Source organism: Homo sapiens, chromosome 2 (assembly GCF_000001405.40).
Source record: "Homo sapiens chromosome 2, GRCh38.p14 Primary Assembly".
Taxonomy (NCBI): domain Eukaryota; kingdom Metazoa; phylum Chordata; class Mammalia; order Primates; family Hominidae; genus Homo; species Homo sapiens.
Window position 1 is genome coordinate 132423630 of NC_000002.12, and position 19412 is coordinate 132443041.

At 42.7% G+C, this 19412-nt stretch overlaps 1 protein-coding gene and 1 non-coding gene across 2 annotated transcripts in view, besides 1 other annotated feature; both read left to right on the forward strand.

Annotated features, from left to right (window-relative positions):
- The window catches only part of GPR39 (G protein-coupled receptor 39), a 229778-nt gene that overhangs the window by 6825 nt on the left and 203541 nt on the right, over positions 1 to 19412 (forward strand). The gene's annotated exons all lie outside the window — the stretch shown is intronic.
- MIR9986 (microRNA 9986) lies at positions 10082 to 10191 on the forward strand. The gene has a single exon (NR_162099.1). It is a non-coding gene; the product is annotated as a microRNA 9986 (primary transcript).
- Positions 15067 to 15361: an enhancer, noted in NCBI's record as "tiled region #6766; HepG2 Activating DNase unmatched - State 8:EnhW". NCBI's record gives its function as "activates a minimal TATA promoter and a strong SV40 promoter by Sharpr-MPRA in HepG2 cells {active_cell/tissue: HepG2}" and the evidence as "EXISTENCE:reporter gene assay evidence [ECO:0000049][PMID:27701403]".

Sequence of the window (19412 nt, forward strand, 5' to 3'; positions counted from 1 at the left end):
TCCCCTTCCCCAGGTTAATATCTTTCTCCTCTCTCAGATCTCCCCAGGGAAACTGGCCCATCCTCCCTGACTTCATTAAACCTCCCACAAAACAAGACTCACTGTTGTCATTTTACATTTAATTGTGCAATTACTCGACTGATGTCTGTCTTCCTTCTAATTCCTTGTGGATAGGTGCATGCCCTAATTTCCCTCAACACTGTACCTCATTCCAGCATAGTGTCTAGACATAGTAGGTAATGAATATTTGTTGACTGAACAAATGAATGAATGAGCCTCAGCTTGGAATTGAGAAGCAATGTTCTGTTTTCCCTTGGGCATGCATTCGTATAGAGGTTTATCATTCCTCAAAAGTGTTCTGGTTCATCTGAACCAAAGATGCTATCTTTGAAAGGGTTATGATTCCTCTGAGGCCTCTGAAGTCAAACCAACATGCAAAACATTTAAGATTTGCTTGCCCCTGAGCAAATGAACACTATGTGCTAATCAGACCCTGAATGTTAGCTTTAACCATGTATATCTGCCAGAAGTAACCGTGAGATGAAAGTGACTAGGGTGGTGAATGGTCCTTGTTAAAATCTATTGAACAAGATGTTAAATGCAATGATACAACTCTACACATTATTTCTTAGCAGGCTCTTTCACCACTTTTTAACAAGGGGTCCTCAAGGTAATGAGGATACAGTGGGGGTGACATTTTGAAAATATTAAACCATGTGTTTATGTCTCCACCTTAAATTGCATCCACTTGCAGCCATCTCTCTCAAGAGTGAGCCACACTTATCACCCCAGGGTAGGAATAAGCAGCTACTGCCTGGGACAAAGGTGTTGTGGATCCATCCTGGGTCCAGAGGATGGAATTACTGACCTCTTTAGCTGGGCAATTATCTTAAAAGCCAGACTTTGTGAAGGATGAAAAAGGATTGCCTAACTTCATATCTCTCCCTTTAATGTATCATGAGCCCAGCCTAGTGGACTGGATCAGCCAGTTCCAGATGAAACCATAGCTAAGGGGTTTGGAATTTATCCTTGGAAGCCATTGCAGGGTTTTAAGAAGTTAAACAGCACAGTTGGATTTCTAGTGCTGCCCCTAGAGTGACAGCATTTGTTGCATTCCAATTTGGGTCAAAGTACAGGCCTGGCTGTGTTTATAGAATAAAAAAACAGACAACCCTTCATTGGAACACAGTTCTGGCAGAGCAGCTGACACTGGTGAGTTCTCCTTTCCATTAGGCAGACCTCTGGCCCTTGGTTTCTCCAAGTCTTGCTGCTGCCACTGTCCTCCATGGCCAGACAGTGACTGCTTCCATTCAGCAACTCCCACTTTCCCAGCACGGAGGCCCAAACCGCCCCCATGTTGCTCAGGCCCTGATTAGGAGGTGGCCCTAGGGAGCTAAACTAGGTCACAGTAGCTCTCACCTGTCATCTCTATTGCTCAATGGTCTATTCGTTCTTCAACGACAATCTCCAGCTACGACCAACTCATATATCTCCCATGACAAAACTTCCTACCACTTACACTAGCATTCTGCATATGATATATCTCAGTGCCTCCCACTTCTTCCATGAAGCCTTCCTGGACTACGACAGCCTATACTGATGTTCCTATGCATGGTGAGCCATCTTAGACATTTCTCAGAAGGGGGCACAGATGATGTCTCTCGACTATATTGGAACTCCCTAAGATCAGGGACCCTTCACTGTTGTACATCTTCAACCTTCCTTACTGGGTTGGGGGCAGAGTAGCCATGCATTGCTTGAGAGATTGATGGATTGAAGTTCTCTGACAGTGGCTGCTGCTCCTGAAATGGAGGAAAAGCACCCTCACTGTGATCCTCAGGCAGCTCTCTTGGCTCTACCTTCCTTTCCTTCTTTCCCTGTGCTAGGCAGAATTCTGAAATGGCCTCCAAAATGCCTGGTCCATAAGGTATACGTATCTTCTCCCAGTTATTCAATCAAACACTAATCTAGTGCTGCAAGGAAGGAAAGTAATTAAGTTCCCAAATCTGTTGACCTTAAAATAGGGAGATTTTCTGTGTGGATTTAACCAAGTCACATGAGCCTTTAAATCTGGGTCTAGAGGTCAGAGGCAGGAGAACTAAGAGTCAAAGCATGAGAGGCATTTGACCAGGGAGAAATTCTCTGTTGCTGGCTTTGGAGATGGAGGGAGCTGGCAGAGAATATAGGTAGGTTCTAGGAGCTGAGCACCAGCAAGAAAATGGGCCCTGAATAAGCTTAGAGGTAAAATTCCCCCCCAGAACTTCTAGAAAAGAATTCAGCCTGGCCTACATGTTGAGAACCCAGGCATACCTTGCCTGGATCTCTGATCTACAGATTTGTGTGCTAATAAATAGGTGTTATTTTAAGCCACTAAATTTTTGATAATTCACTATGTACCAATAGAAAACGAATGGATTCACTGAACTCTGCTGAAAGGAGCTCCCAGGTAAACACATGGCCTACCTTAGTTATAACTTCCAAGACAGGTTCAATCTCCAGAAGCTTCTCTTTGAAAAGTCTCACCTTCCAAGAATTGCCTTTGGCCCAGCCATTCACAGATCCACCAACCACTTGTTGGTCACCTGCTCAGTGCTCAGTGATCTGGAAGTTTAACAAGATCCAGGGCACCATGGAATGTTCACTGGACTTTTAAACTCTCGTTTGGAGAATTACAAAATTTGTGGGTTTGAGTCCCACTGGCTGGATTTTCAGAATGCTGATGCCTTGATAGTCAGAAAGGAAAACAGTATTGAATTGATCTTATAATTATCATCCTTTTGGTAGCTCTATTTCGTCATAGCCTGGCAATGACTAGGCGCTGCATAAAGGTTTGGTGGATAAGCTGATGCCTAGGCAGCTCTGCTGCTTTCCAGAGTCCTCCTCACCAGAAGGGAGATGCCTGTACCCCTCATCATTTGGCTTCAGATGGAAAAAGTGTGTCAGGGAGGAAGCCAACCCTGGTGCTGAAGCAAGTCTGAATAACAGAAATGTCTTGGGCTAACAGACTTTATCATTTTCTGATTTTAGAGCCTTTCCCGATTTAGAAACTTGACAAAAAGTCTTGTTTGTACTTACTGAGTGTAAGAGCCATTCTGGCAAGCAGAGGGTTTAACACTCAGGCCACTGCTTTGCACACCGCAAAGGTGGCTAGGTAGTTGGAGAGCAGTGGTGTTACTGGTACCTAACAGACAGATCGGGAGGCAAGGCTGCAGCATCAAAGTTGCCATTGTACTTGTTCAGTGTCTAACTGTCCATGAAACTAACGGCATGCAGAAATGGGGGCAGGCCCAGCTGGGAGTGATGACGCTCATTAAACTTGCAGAGAGAAGCCACTCTCTTTCTTTAGTGAAGAGGAAAAAGATCAACTCTGCTTTAGAAATAAAACACTTTACACAGGGTGCTTGAGCCAGAGATGAAGTCATTTGAATATATATATATATGTACCTATATATATAATATACATATATAGGTACATATATATATAATATACATATATAGGTACATATATATATATATATATATATATATATATATATGAAATTTTTTTTTTTTTGAGACGGAGTCTTGCTCCGTCGCCCAGGCTGGAGTGCAGTGGCACAATCTCAGCTCACTGCAAGCTCTGCCTCCCAGGTTCATGCCATACTCCTGCCTCAGCCCCCGAGTGGCTGAGACTACAGGCGCCTGCCACCACACCTGGCTAATATATTTTTTTTTATTTTTAGTAGAGATGGTGTTTCACTGTGTTAGCCAGGATGTCTCGATCTCCTGACCTCGTGATCCACCCACCTCCCAAAGTGCTGGGATTACAGGCGTGAGCCACTGCGCCTGGCCTGACTTTACATATTCTATTCTATTTGGTTTTATATATTATATATGTTATATATTGTATGAGTATGTAATATAACATAATATCTTATACATATAATTCTTTGGAGACATATACTCAGCAGAAATAAAATTTCTGGCATATTTTTGAGTCTACTTTCTATGTGCTGCCATTCTGAAGGATTAAATATCACATTGAAATGACAGCTACATCTTTTTGTTTTTTCAGTTACATTTGGAAGAGAAGGATGGGAAGGAGTCTCAGTAAGTTGCCTAGGCTGGAGTATAGTGACTATTCACAGACATGATCATAGTGTCCTGAGGCCTCGAACTCCTGGGCTCAAGCAATCCTTCTGCCTTAGCCTCTTGGTAGCTAGGACTACAGGTGTGCACTACCATACTTGGCTTTTAAGCTGTACTTCATATATATATATAATATATATATAATATAAAATTATATTTAAATATATATATTATATATAGTTATATATATTATATATAGTTATATTTATATTTAAATATATATATATTTAAAAGACAGCTGATGGGTTTTCACTGTTTTTCAAGTTCAAGTTTACCCTTGATAGGGGTGACAAATGAGTCACCTTGGTGATTGAAGCTTGCTGTAGATATCCTCTAGAGAAGATGAAAAAAACTTCTGTAGGAACTAGCTGTTCTCCTTGTTAGACCTGGGGTTTTCCTCATTATTGAATCTCTTACAAGCTGACTTCCTCCAAGAAGCCTGCCTGGACTGGCTTTACCCTTCTCTCATTATTCCAGCAGATCTTCACATTTCATTTGTTTGTTCATTCATCAAGTATTTATGAAACTTAAGTTGTGCTTAACATCGTTTGTACCATAGAGATCAAAATGCTGGTTCCTCCTTTCAAGGAGCTTAATACTTGTCTCATTGGGACATCAAAGTATAAGGGCAGAGCCTTGTAGAAGCCTAAATGTACCACTTGATGCAGGGTCTGGGTTGTGGCTGTTTATGAAGTAAGCTAGTTCTAGTAAATGTTCTGCCAGAACTTTTAATAGACTGGCTAACTGGGCTTCACTCCAGAGATGTTGTTAGTCTCGATATTCACAGTATGGTCCAGGGACCCGCAGCATCAGCATCACCTGGGAAATTGTAAAAGGCAGAGTATTGGGCCACACCCCTACCAGTTGAATTGTAATCTGCATTGTAAGCAGATCCCTGGAATACCTATGTCCTAACATCAGGGTATGAGAAGCACTGATCTACAACACTTGGGGATTCTTTAATGTCAATACTAGAAAAGGGTGAATTGGGAAGGACTAAACTCACTAGTTGTGATAAGAACTGTCAATCACTTGTTGTGTAGTTGTAACAGGTGGGAATTTGCTCCATGACACTTAGACATAAAAAAGTTGCATTATTTCTAAAAAGAAACTTAAATCTGGCTCCAAGCTCTCATTTGGAAGGTGGTGAAAATGTTAATCTTAGTAACATTGGGGGTCGGGGTTTCCCCTTTCTCATGTTGTGTCAAAATTCAAGGGGCTTATGAGATGCCCAGAAAATGAGGCATTGGGTCTGTTGTTCAAAGTTCTTCCTATTGCCAATTCTGCTCTATGATTTTGCTGCCAGGGCTGACCAGAGCACTAGGGCCAGCCAGCCAAAGGGCTGGCCTTTATATTTTATCTTCAATCCTCATAGTATCATTAGCATGAAGGTATCGTTATCCTCACTTTGCAGAACTGCCTGAGGTCATCAAACATTGAGATTGGAGCTGGGATCTGGCATGTTTTGCAGTCCACGTTCTTTACATGAGCAGAGGGTGAGTCTCTCAAAAGAAAACGCTCTGTAGTCTCTCAAAAGAGAATACTCTTCAGTGGGGGAACTTGTTTTGGATGGTCAGTGTCAGGGAGGCAAGAAATTATGATGCCAAGTCTGGTGGATGTTTATCTTGCTTTTAGGCTACCCAGCAGCTTTTGGCTGCTTTTTATCTCTGGGAAATTTCCATCTTTTTGAGTCCTGCTTCCTCAAGATAGTGGTCAGAAGCTTGCTTTCCCAGCATCCCTCACAGCCAGAGTGCAGCATGTGGCCTGGGCTGCGCCAGTCACGTGCACTGGCATGAGAGTCTCATTTGGAAGAGAAGGATGGGAAAGAGCAGTAGCCACATGGACTCTCTTTGGGGTTAAAGCCAGTGTGTGACAAATGGGGTTAAAAGAGTGTAAAGGAGCCTTTAGAGAGAGCAAAGACAGAAAAGCTAAAGACAGCATCCTAAGCCAGATGTTTGCAGCACCTCTACATTGGTGCATTCTGATGGGATAACCTTATGTGATTCTCTGGCCCTCCTAGGGGTTATATGAAATAACTAATAGCCTCATTTCTGGATGAAACTGGAATGGGCTCTGCTGTTTGTCCTAAGAACTCTGCATGTCCAGAAAGTAGGTAATAGAATGATTGGACTGGAGTAGGGAAATCTAGAAGGTAGCAGTGATGAATTTAGACTGAAAAGTAGACTGAGTTAAATATGGAGGAAGTTGATAGCTAGGCTAATGGATTCAGACTATGTATTGGAGGCCATGGGAGCCATGGAAAGCTTTTGAGAAGAGGAGTGGCAGGAAGGAGTGCAAAAACACTGATGTGGCCATGTGGCCAAGGTGTGTGTTGCTGGCAGAGAGAGGCAGTGTGAGGGGCACAGGTGTGGAAGTGATCATGGGTTCTGATGACGGTTTGTGGTTAGGTTTAGTCATGAAGGGGTGGTAGTTATCAACCCTGCTAAACATTACAATCACCTGTGGAACTATTAAAAATGCCCTACTCCAGTCTATTTATATCAAAACCTTTGTGGGTGGAGCCCTGGACATTGGCATTATTTAAGCCTTCAGGTGACTCCAATGTGTAGCCAGGGTTGAGAATGGGAGAAGAAGGAGCTGGAAAGGCAGGCTGGGGGTGGCTGGGGAGACCTTGACTTTAGTAACTGTGCCAAGGTTCTTTGACTAGAGGCCACCAAACCGGATTCTTCTTATTTAGCAAGTAAGAAGGAATTTATTGGAAGTATGGGAGGTAGCTCACTGAGTCAAAGGGAAGGCTAAATAAAGAACCAGATTTATCAGGGACCTAGGGAGTAGAAATTCATGGACCACCAGCTTGGGCTCTACCATCAAGAAGGTATCAGCTTCAGGCATCATCCCATCTTTGTTGCCACTCCATCCAGGGATGAGAACCTTGTTGGACTGGCTAGGGCTGCTCATCCAGCCCCTGTGAGGCTGAGATGAGGGCAGGTGATGGACAGTGCCGTCAAGACTGCATGCAGTGAGAGGCGTGGTCCCCAAAGGAGACCCATGTTCTACCCAGGAGAGCGGGTTACAGAGCCAGGGAGCAGAAACAACAGACACCCCCTGTGGGGACCTTCGTAAGCTTAGTGATGTGCTCTGACATTGTTGAGTTCCTTCTTTGTTCCATGCAGACTTTCCCCAGATTCTATTCTCTCTTATATCCCTGGACTTCCCCTTCCCCCTGGCTGAGTCCTGGGTGATATTTCCCAGGGATCTGGTCATCTTAGTGCATGAGCAGTTTAGAGGGGTGGGGAGGAGGGGTCAGCAGCAGAGCCTCCTGCTTCTGAAATGCTGCTGCCAGAAGCTGGTTGGTGCCAAATCCCCAGGGCATGTCTCCTGCCTTGTAAGCTGACTCACTCACTCACCTAGGTCACTCACTGACCAAGTATCAGGTTGTGGCTGCTCATTACCATGAAATCAGGTTGTATTTGAAACTTGGCCTGGAAAACAAAGATCTCTGGCTGTGCTTCAGCATCAGATGCAACACCTATTTCTAGAATTGGGCATTTTCTAGTTATGTCTTAATATGATATTGGCCTTAAGCCAGGACTCCTTATTTCAGATGTAAGATCCTACCTTTGATGTCAAGCATATTGACCATGGAAAATAGGAAACATATGAGTTGCATTCATTGCCTTCTGGAAATCTAAAAAGTTATTTAAGAAAGAAAAACTAGTAAAATTTATTAAAGTTTTGTTCATAAAATGTTTTAGTTTCACATTGGAATGCTGATTGATCTTTGATTTTGATGTCAGTCACATTCTGTCTCTAGGGCAGTTACTGTTTTCTCTCCCTGCAAATTGAGAGGCCAGGAGGCTGCTCTCCAAGGCAGCTTCTCAGAGTCTTCACTTCTCTTGGTGATGTTTTTTTGAACGAGAGTCACCATACGCCAGGTGAGCCTTCCCCGTGGAACTTGGCAGTGAGCTGTGTGCATTGAGAATATGTGGAGGGAGTGTGGTGTGTGTGGACTTCACATTCAGTGGGTAGGGCCTAAGTATGTGACTACTGTATCTTAAGTGGTGGGGATGATGGCAAATGGGGAGTATATTAGTTTCCTGTGGCTGCTGTAACAAGTTACTACACATTTGACGGCTTAAAACAGTAGACATTTATTTTCTCACAGTTCTGGAGGCCAGAAGTCCAAAATAAGTTTCTCTGGGCCAAAATCAAGGTGTCAGCAGGACCTTAGAGCTTAGGCTTTAGGAGAGAATTCACTCTTTCAACCTTCCAGTTGCTGGTGACTGCTGGTGTTCCTTGGCTTGTGGTTGTGTTACCCCAGTCTCCAAGGCCAACATCTTCAGATTTCTCCCTGCTCTGTCTTCAAGTCATCTTCTTGTTTGTCTTGCTCCATTTGGGCTGTTATATCGAAATACCATAAACTGGGTGGTTTGTAAGCAACAGACATTATTTTCTCAGGGTTCTAGAGGCTGGGAAGTCCAAGATCAAGGTATTAGCAGATTTGGTGTCTGGTGATGGCCTGCTTTCAGGTTGCAAACTGCTGACTTCTCGCTGTGTCCTCACATGGTGGAAGGGGCAAGGCAGCTCTCTGGGACCTCATTTATAAGGACACAAACCCCATGAGGGATGTACTATCATGATGCAATCACTTCCCAAAGGCCACACCTAATACCATCACATTGGTGACTAGGTTTCCAACATACAGATTTGAAGGACACAAAAATTCAGACCATAGCATCCTCTGTGTGTGTCAAATCTCCCTCTGCCTCCCTCTTCTGAGAATGCATCTGATGAAATCTAGGGCCTACTCTGATAATGCAGGATCATCTCTCTACCTCAAAATCCTTCGCTTAATCACATCTGCCAAGATTCTTTTTCTTATAAAGTGACATTTACTGTATCCAGAGATTAGGACCTGGTATTCTCGGAGGACATTTTTCAGCCTACTGCAGGGAGCAAAGGGATACCAGAAAGTACAAAAATTTAATGTGGTACATGAGCATAGCCTTCCCACCTACAGAGAGACACTGCTGTGCATAGGTATATGTCCCAATCTCCTTTCCATCACCTACTAGTGTGTGTGACTTGACAAATTACTCAGGACCTCAGTTTTATCATCTCTGCATTAGACATAAACTGGTCTAAGGTTGATTTGAGCATGCAGTGAGAAGTATATGGAGGCCACCTGTGCAGTGCCTAGCATATGGTAGGTCGTCATTGAAAACTACATTTGACCCTTGAACAACATGGATTTGAACTACTTGGGTCTTCTTATACATGATTTTTTCCCAATAAACGTATTATAATACTTTTTGGAGATTTGTGACAATTTGAACAAACAAATGGTAAAGCTTAGAAGTAGAAAAAAGTTAAGAAAAAGATATGTCATGAATGCATAAAATATATGTAGATTCTTGCCTATTTTATTATTTACTATCATAAAATATACACAAATCTTTTATAAAACCTTAAAATTTATCAAAACTTACATACACACAAATACAGATTGTACATGGTGCCATTTGCAGTTGAGAAATATAAACAAATGTAAACATGCAGTATTAAATCATAACTGCATAAAAATTAGCTACAGTAATTTTTTGTAGCTACCTCCTGTTGCTATCGAGGTAAGCTTAAGTGTTCCTAGTGTCCACTTGCAACTCTGTGTGACGCTAATCATCTCAGCATGAGCAGTTTGTCTCTCCAGTAAAATATTGCAGTAAAAAAGTGATCTCGTGGGCTTCTCACATAAATTTCATCATGTTTAGTGCAAATACCATAAACCTTGACTAACATCATGGGACTCATACAAAGTGCCACTAGTGGTGCTGGAAGTGCTGCCAAGAAGTAAAGTCATGATATCACAAGAAAAAGCTGAATTTTGACATGTACTATACATTGAAGTCTGCAACTGCAGTTGCCCTCCATTTCAAGATAAATGACTCCAGTGTAAGGACCATTAAAAAAAAAAATTCATGAAGCCGTCACTTGCAAGAAGTATTTTGCAAAAAGTGTGAGGTTGTCATGCCTGCTATTACTACAGCTATGCCAGCAGGCATGACAACCTCATACTTTTTGCAGAATAGTTTTTTATATTGTATTGGAAATGCAGCTTTTATGTTGGTGCAGGATTGCTATTAGAAATAGCAATTGCTATAGACTCTAATATGATTCAAGAAAAAGCGAAGTCATTATATGACAACTTAAAGCACAATGAAGGTGAAGGGCCTAAAGCTGGAGACTTTAATGTCAGCAAAGGATGGTTTAATAATTTTAGACATTTGGCTTAAGAAATGACAAGATAACAGGAGAAGCAGCTTCTGATGATCAAGAGGCAGCAGATGAGTTCCTGTACACCATTAAGAAAATCATTGAGGAGAAAGGATATCTGCCTGGAGAGGTATTTAATGCAGATGAGAGTGCTCTATTCTGAAAAAAAATGCCATGAAGGACGTTTATTAGTAAGAAAGAGAAGTGAGCATCAAGATTTAAGGCAGGAAGGGATAGGCTAACTCTACTGTTTTGTTCAAATGCTGTTGGGTTTATAATCAGGAACTCCTTTATTTATAAAGCTGCTAACTCCTGAGTCTTGAAGGGAAAAGATAAACACCAGTTGCTAAGTCTTTTGGTTGTACAGCAAGAAGGCCTGGACAATAAGAACACTTTTTCTGGATTGGTTATGTTGATGCTTTGTCCTTGAAGTCAGGAGGTACCTTACCAGTAAGGAACTGCCTTTTAAAATTCTTTTAATATTGGACAGTGCCCTTGGCCACTCAGAGCCCCATGAGGTCAACACTGAAGGTGTTGAAGTGGTCTACTTGCCCCCAAACAGAACATCTCTAATTCAGCCTCTAGATTGGGGCCATAAAGACCTTTAAGTCTCATTACACGTGGTACTCTATGGAAAGGATTGTCAGCATTATGGAAGAAAACCCCAAGTCTGGAAGGATGACACTATTGAAGATGCCATCATTGTTACAGAAAAAGTCATGAAAGCCACCAAGCCCAAAACAATAAATTCCTGGTGGAGAAAACTGTCCAGATATGCATGACTTCACAGGATTTACAATAGAGCCGATTCAGAAAATTATAAAAGAGATTGTGGATATGGCAAAACATCAGGTGGGGGTGAAGGGTTTCAAGATATGGGTCTTAGAGACATACAAGAGCTAAGACACCACACCAGAGGAAATAACAGAAGATGACTTGACGGAGATGAGTGCTTCCAAATCAACGCCAGATGACGAGGAAGATGACATAAAAGAAGCAGTGCCAGAAACAAATGGACAATATTAGACAATCTGGCCAAAGCTTCTAATTATTCGAGACTCTTTTTGGCTTCTTTTACTACATGGATCATTCTATGATACAGACACAGACACTGAAAGTAAAGCAAACGGTGAAAGAAGGGCTGGTACCATATGGAAACATCTTTAGAGAAATACAAAGGCAAAAAAGACAGAAATTATGGTGTATTTCTGTAAAGTTGACCCGAGTGTGCCTGCCTCTCCTGCTCCCCGCACACCTCCTTCACCCCTTCTGCCTCTGCCACCCCTGAGACAGTAAAACCAACCCCTCCTTCCTCGTTCTCCTCAGCCTATTCAACATGAAGATGATGAGGATGAAGACCTTTATGATGATCCACTTTCACTTAGTAAACAGAAATATACTTTCTCTTCTCTATGATTGTCTAATAACTTTCTCTTTCTCTAGCTTACTTTATGGTATGTATACAATACATACACAAAATATGTGTTAATCGACTGTTTGTTATTGGTAAGGCTTCCAGTCAACAGTAGGTAATTAGTAGTTAAGTCTTTGGGGAGTCCAAGGTTACATACAGATTTTTGACTGTGCAGGGAAGGGTGTGTTAGACCCTGAATGCCTGCACTGTTCAAGGGTCAACTGTAGTTGCCTATAGTGACCTTGTGATATTACAGAAAGAATTTTGGTTGAGGACTCAAGAGAACTTGGTTCTAGTCATTGCCAGGCCACAGACTTGTAACATTTTGAGCAAATCTCCACATATTTTCTCGTGTAAAGCTTGAAGTGGTAAACTTGAGGAGTTTGTCTCAAAAGTCCCCATAGACATAAGACATGAAGGGGATATGGGTTCCAGACTTAAGCACTCCAAGGAATAGAAAGAGTGTGAAGATTATATAGTAAAGATGCATGGACATTTGCTTTTCATTCCATTGTATGTCAATGTCTGATACAATAGAAAAATGTTTTAAGTTCGTTTTCAGAAAGCAAAAGTGTCAGCCCAGGAAGGGCAATTCCTGATGGCTATAAGGAGCCTCTGAAAGACTCTCAGGTGGCCCCAGCTGTGTGCTCATTCCAGAAAGAGAGCTTTAGGCCCTGAGGCCCCCCGAGTCCCTAAGCTTTTGAAATTGTTTGCCTTTGACCTTTGTCCTGTGAGAAGTTACTGGAAGAGCAAGAGCAGCAGCTCCAGGCCCTGGCAGCCCATTCTAGGCGGGAGCTTTTGACAAATTACCACGTTGATGCCTTCTTCACGCACCTGTAAGGCCAAGGCATTATTGGCCAAGGCAATCGATATATCAAAATGAATTTTTGGAAGAGTGTCATCAAGCTCAGCTTTATTTCCAAAACAAACTCTGCCCCAGGGAGGGAAAAATGACTTTCACTGTGAAGTAAACAGTTGATTGTTTAGACATTACTTATGTCATGCTAGTCCATCTGAGATGTAGGCACCATGGTAACCAATTGTCCCCAGAATTCATATTTTTGAGGCCCATTAAAACTCGAGGCTGCTGGAGTCATGTTCTCCGCATTTTGGCCATTTTAATAATAATAATGAGAACGTTAAAATGACATTTGGAATTTATATCACACTTGTCTGTGAGGTGCTCTCAGCACTTTACAATGTATCATCCATCCTCATCACAGAGATGGGAAATATCAGAGGTGGGTAGTATTTGTGATTATATTCAGCTTAGTAAAGAGCCCCCCGGCTTGAAGGAATTTCAGTGATGTGGCATGGTGCTTGCCGACTTGTGGGGACAGAAGAGGCTGGTGCTGGCTTGGTGCTTCTGCTCGGTCCATCTCTCTCTGCCTCAGTTTCCATCAATCAAATCAGATAACAGCAGTGTGTCTCCTCATCCCGCAGCGTGGTTATGTGGATCATTGTATTAATCATATTAACTAACGTTTTAAAAAATTTACTTGCTATGTGCCAGGTGTTCTAAGATCTTTTTGTATGCTCATTCATTGAATTCTCCCAAGGCCCTATGAGGCAGGTGCAGTTAATTATCCTATTTTAGAGATAAGCAAATTGAAACACGGAGAGTTTAAGGAACTTGCCTCAGGTAACACAGCAATTAAGAACCTGAGGTGTATCTGACCCAGGCAGGTTGGCTACAGAGCTTGCAGTATTAACCACTGTGTTAGAGTTGCTTAAACTTTGATATAGCAAGACAATACACACACATGCACAAGTGCACACACCCGCACAGGCAGAGCAAACAAAAGTTTCACTGAACGATATTCACCCATCCTTACCTTTGAATGTGAAGTGCATTTTGATCTTTTCTCTTCTATTCATTTCATTAACGAAAATGCCAATCTGAAGCCAGTAAACTGAGTTTATGATCATGAGTAAGTCTGACATACATTTTGAAAGCCTTAGCACTACACCATACTCCTTCATAGATGCTCCTGGGGAAGCATTTGAGAAGAGACATGCAGGGAGTGTGTGTGATTGGCTGGGGAGGGTCGTGGAGACCAGAATGTGTGAAGTGTAGGCCCTGGCTCTGCTCCCACGGTGCTACCTCCTGAGGCAGCTGCTCCGTGTCATGTCTGGGCCTGTGGGTTGGCGGGCAGAGGCTGCCCCACTCTCCTCTTCTACTTTGTGTCATAATAGTCTTTGGGGGTCTTCTCTGCCAGCCTCCATGGGCTTCAGCTCTGAGTTAACCCCAGGTATTTACTGAATAGACATTATGTACTGGGCCTCGTAGGTATCCAGCTCTGACTGGGAGGCTACAGAGAGGCATTAGACATGTTCCTTGACTGCAAGGAAATTGCAAGACACCAGGGAAGGAAGGCTGACATGTCAAGGGAGAATTAGGGGCAGGTCCCCCAGTGCTGTATGTAGGGAGCATAGATTTTGGAGCTAGATGGCTCCTCCTAGTAATGTGACCTCGGGCAACATACTTGACCTCTGAGAGCCTAACTCTGGGGCTGCACCTGCAGCCTGAGTGATATTATCCTGGCTAGTGAAACTGTTTGGTGAACCATGAAGTGTTACTAAGAGGTTAGTATTTAGAGGTCATGTTGTCATAACAGTATTGCCAAAAGTCTGGCAACAGCCATAAACATTGGGGTTTCAGGGAAGGGACGGAGTGTTGCAGCAATCCTGGAAGCCTTCCTGGAGGAGGCAGCATTTAATCTGAAGCAGGTATTTTCAGTTCCTGACTGGAAGGATCATGGGTCACTTAGAGATGGAAACAGATACGCAAGGTCCAACCATTCATGTAGAAACCATGCTTATATATAATTAGGTCATAGCTCTGACTCCAATAGGAGGATCCTGAGTGCTTTCATAAGTTGTTGGGGTTTTGTTGTTGTTGTTGTTTGTTTTTAGAGACAAGATCTTGCTATGTTGCCCAGGCTGGCCTTGAACTCCTGGGCTCAAGTGATCCTCCTGTCTTAGCTTCCCAAGTAGCTGAGACTGCAGGCTCAAGTCACTCAGTACACTGCTTTCCTAAGTTTGACATGCCCTGCTGGCTTGAGGTCACTGGCAGACAACCACTTGATTCCCTTAGGTCAGGGGTTAGCAAATTACGTATGGGCAATCCCTGTTTCTATATAGCTCATGATACCTGTAATGTCAGCAAGCTTTTTTTTTTTTTTTTTTTTTTTTTACATTTTTTTGAGTGTTGTAGAAAAAAAAATATGCGACAGTACTATGTGGTCCCATAAAACCTAAAATATTTACTATCTGGCCCTTTAAAGAAAAAAATTTACCAACTGATGCCTTAAGTCTCAAAGTATACAATCCTTGTTTCAAGTTGAAGGTCTTCCTTAGTTCTGCATCATCCTTTAGTCATTCTCCAGGCCCTTCTGTCATACCCTGAGGGTACACAGGGCCCAAGCCCTGGAGAGAAGGGGAAAGTAGGCCTCCATTAGTCATTTCCTGGCTTCCATGGCTGTCGGAATTCCCCTGCTCTGCCATGGCAGCATATTAATATGTCGCAGCGAGCATGTGTATGTTTAATTCTGATGACATGTGGCGCATAAGTGATTAGTGGCAAATGCCAAAATGCTAGGCTGGAGCCCTGATGCTATTCATAATAACATTCATAAGAGTATTCCCCCAGGATGCAGCTTTCTGTTTCTCCAACATAAATAGCTTGGGAGGCCAAATCACAAACACGATTTCTCTTCATGCTCCACCTGGCCATTCGTAACAAGCATTAGATGTGAAATTTGATTTAAAGCAGCAGTTAAACTCGGAAAATCACAATGGTGTCAAGCCCATTGTTTATTTTAAAGATCAAGAGAAAACCAAAGGTGAGCAACTAATTCTTTATTTTATTTTATTTTTTTGTGGTAACAGTGTCTTGATGACAGGCTAATGTGCAGCTCAAAATAAAGGTACCTGGGTAGAAATAACCCCTCAAACATCATTGAGGCAATATGCCAAGAGGCGCTTGGTAAATGGCTGTGAAGGAGGACAGATTATCCTGTTGAAAGGCTGCTGAGATGCGGCTCCACTTGACAATGGTGGGACTTTTGTCACAGGAAAATTAGATGCCTTTGGATAGGTCTGAGATTGTTCTTATCTTTTCCATATAGCAAAAAGCTACCACTCAGAAAGAAAACAGAGAGTTGAAGGAGTACCCTGATTGAATGCCTTCCAGAAAAAGGATTGTTTTGAGAGAAACACTTTAATTTGCTTCAGATGATTCTGTGGAGGCTTATTGCTGAAGTGGTTCCATTTCAGCACAGGTTTAGCTGGCTCTGAAGAGAGAAGTGATTTTTAAAAATCTTAGGGAATACAAAGCATTTATCCATTAACCTGAGTCACCAACCAGTTTTCACAACAAGGCAGCCTAGGAGCTAGTGGTGGCCAGGATATGTTTTGTTTGTTTGGCTCAGTGTTTGCTGCTTGTTTTTTAAAGAATTTGAACACCGCTGGACTGCTTGTGCTGTCTCCAGTTTCTCACAGCATGCCCACTTCCTATGGGGCTGCTCCAGGCTGCCTCCCATATTTGTCTACAAAGGGATTGGAGTCCAAGGTGCATTGTTACAGCTTGTGGGTTCCATCGAAACATGACACCTAGTTATTCCCATCCTACTTTGTATCTTGTGACCACAGAACCCTCCTAACAAAGGTTTGTGGATGGTAGGTGACTCCCTGAAGCTCAGCCCTAGTCCTAGAGAAATATTACAGAGTCCCCCTGTGCTGATGGTAGGTCACGGACCCTAGCCATCTCCAAAGGACAGAGTCCTTTTCTTGCTAGTGCCCCTACTGATAGAAATGTTGAACAAAGGGCCAGTGGCCGTTTTCTAGCAGTGGTTAATTGCAGTGAGTTCTATTGTGGCAGAAAGGTTTGAAAACCATCTCTCGCCTGCCCTCACAATAACCTGAATTGTGGTTCTTGGTTAGACTAGGGCAAAGGGGTGGTGACATGAGAACACGAACCCTGGAGCTGGACTGCTGGGTTCCAATCCCAGTTCCCTTTTTGCTCCTTCCTAGGGGTGTGAACTGAGATGCAGGGGCAGCTTTTTAGGGGAAGGATGTATAAGTTGGGTGACAGATTGATGCAGGAAAGAGGAAGAACAATTGGAAATGGCTTTGACATTAGTTTGAATTCCAAAAGTGGGCAAGTAAATACCAACGCGGTGCTTGGATTAATGAGAGGGTGGAAATGGAAAGGGATCCACTAGTTAACAAAGTTTAACAACCACTGACATCAGGGTCAGTGTGGAAGGAAGGAACTCATGGCGTGCTCAGCCAAAGTACTTTAGAGAATGTCCTAGTTTGAAACTTTTTCAGTCACTGAGATTTAAAATAATAATAATAATAATGGCAAAATTGTCATGAAAAAAAGTCAAAAGAGGCTAAAGTGGCTCAGTTGCAACAAGACCCAGGAAGGATATGAGAGGCACATGTGCCCTTGCAGGGCGTGACTTTCCACAACCGGTGTGTGTGGTGGGGGTGCTCAGAGCAGTCCTGCCCCACATTCCCTCCAGCCTACTTGCCTTTGTCTGCCTGAAGGACACGCTCTTCTCTGCTGTTTGTCTATGTGGGTAAAGGTCTCAGCCAAGAGAAATTTTTAAGTAAATTAAAAACTCAAGCAGGCTGATCCATAGCCATGCTCATAAGAAGCCTGCCTCAAGTGACTGTTTATTTTCTTTATTCCTTGATTTTTTTCACAAATAAGTATAGTTACATGCCTGTTATATGCCAGCCTCTGTTCTGGGCCCAAAGTGAGGGTAACATCTTCAACCCCTGTGTGCTCCCAGAACAGGAAATGAGATGCATATACAAACAAGTGGGATGCAGAGCCCTGGGAGGGATCATGGTCAGGGCAGACAGTTCCCTGTTTACAGATACGCTGCATTTCAAAAGTTAGCTTTCAAACTCTTGGTTAAGAATCTGGATTCATTTTCCAGTACAGACTTTCTTTTCATGCATATATGCTTTTTTTTTTGTTGTTGTTGTTGTTGCAGATAGCAAATGTTTATTGAATGCCTACCATGGAAAGAACTGAAAATACCAGGAAGATAAAACTTTGAATCCCCTTCAAGTCAGGGAGTCATCTATACTTAACAAACCAGCAAAATGAAATGCTGGGCTTGGTGCTGTGTGTGGGAAGTGGCAATGGAAGGGCCCCAGGCAGGGCCCTAATGAATGGAGTGATTAATACACTTGACTTCTTTTTCTTTTTCTTCCCCTTCTCTATCACACCGAAGCTTCCATTTCTTCCATTTAGCTGTTATGCTAGGTGCTAGGAGGAAAGCAATAGTTTAAACTAATTTAAGTTTAGATGTGACTAGAACTGATGGGAGATTGTCAATAACCTCTGAGGGGAAACTTTCTGTGTCTTAATGATCTAAGACTCAGGCTTGGGGTTTTATATGACTGAAAGTCACAAAATACCTTAATCCGCTCTTCACGCAGAGGGGAGATCTTGCCGTGTGCTTGCACTCACACCCATGAATTTCACCTGCTTCTGGAGATGATTTTGCTCCAGTTCCTATGGTGTGTGTTCCCAGGGTGTTTCTCCTTGAAAATGCAGTTTTTTTTCTTCATTCTTTGCTTTGGGACTTCAGGTTCTAAAGTCAGTGTCAAGGCAAAAAAGCCTGTAGAGTCACAATTGTCCTTGAAAATCACTTAGCAAGGGATTACATTGGAGACCCAATTTTACCCTGTCTCAGTGAGTACCACCCAACCACTTTTTCCTTCCCTCTTAGAAAAAGGGACGTGATTGTTCAGTTGGAAAGCAGGAGAGGTAGTTGGGTCCAAGAAATAGAAAAACACAAATCGTGAAACAAACATTTCACTCAGAGTGGTGACTGATCACTCCCTTAGAAGCATGAGGTCGTTGCAACAAACCCATGTAGACAACTGTAGATGCCCAGGTCTCATCTCAAATTTGCTGCCTGCCTTAGAGACATGGGATTCTGCAGTTGAGTCCTTATGGCTGGGCGTGGGGGTGGAGGGGGGCTCCTTTCCTGTAAAGAGCACACAGATGCTCTAAATGTCCGCTCCCTGACCGCCATTAACACCGCTCAGGCCCCAGGGAAATGCTTTCCTTCATCTCTGGTCCTGCGTCCTTGAAACAGAAGGTGGGCCTGTCTGATTGCCAGGAAGGCTTTTGGCTCATGCCCCTGTGAAAGGCAGAGTCAGACACAGCTTTGGACTTCAGAGAAGATTTAAGCAGCAAAACTGCTTAGGTAAGAAGAGAAAACAAATGAATTACCTTGTCGGAGGCTTCCTCTCACATATCAGCGATGCAATAGATTCATGTATAATGAACTGTGGTTTCACAGCAGTACTGAGTGCCCATTTCCTTGCTGCTTTTTTTTCTTACAATTTGTGGTTTCGGAGATATTCACAGATTCCCAACACTTGCACATGGTGACTGAGGAACATTTTTTCAACATTAAAAAATTTATATCGCTCTTCACTCTGCATATTTAGGCAATATTGATTCTTTGCATTGGCAACTGGAGAGGCATGGACTGCTATAATTAGGAATACTCTTATTTTTTAAATGGTTAATAAGATTTAATTTACATTAAAATGAATAAAAATTAGCTTTAAATATCTCTGATATAAATAGTTGGAATATATT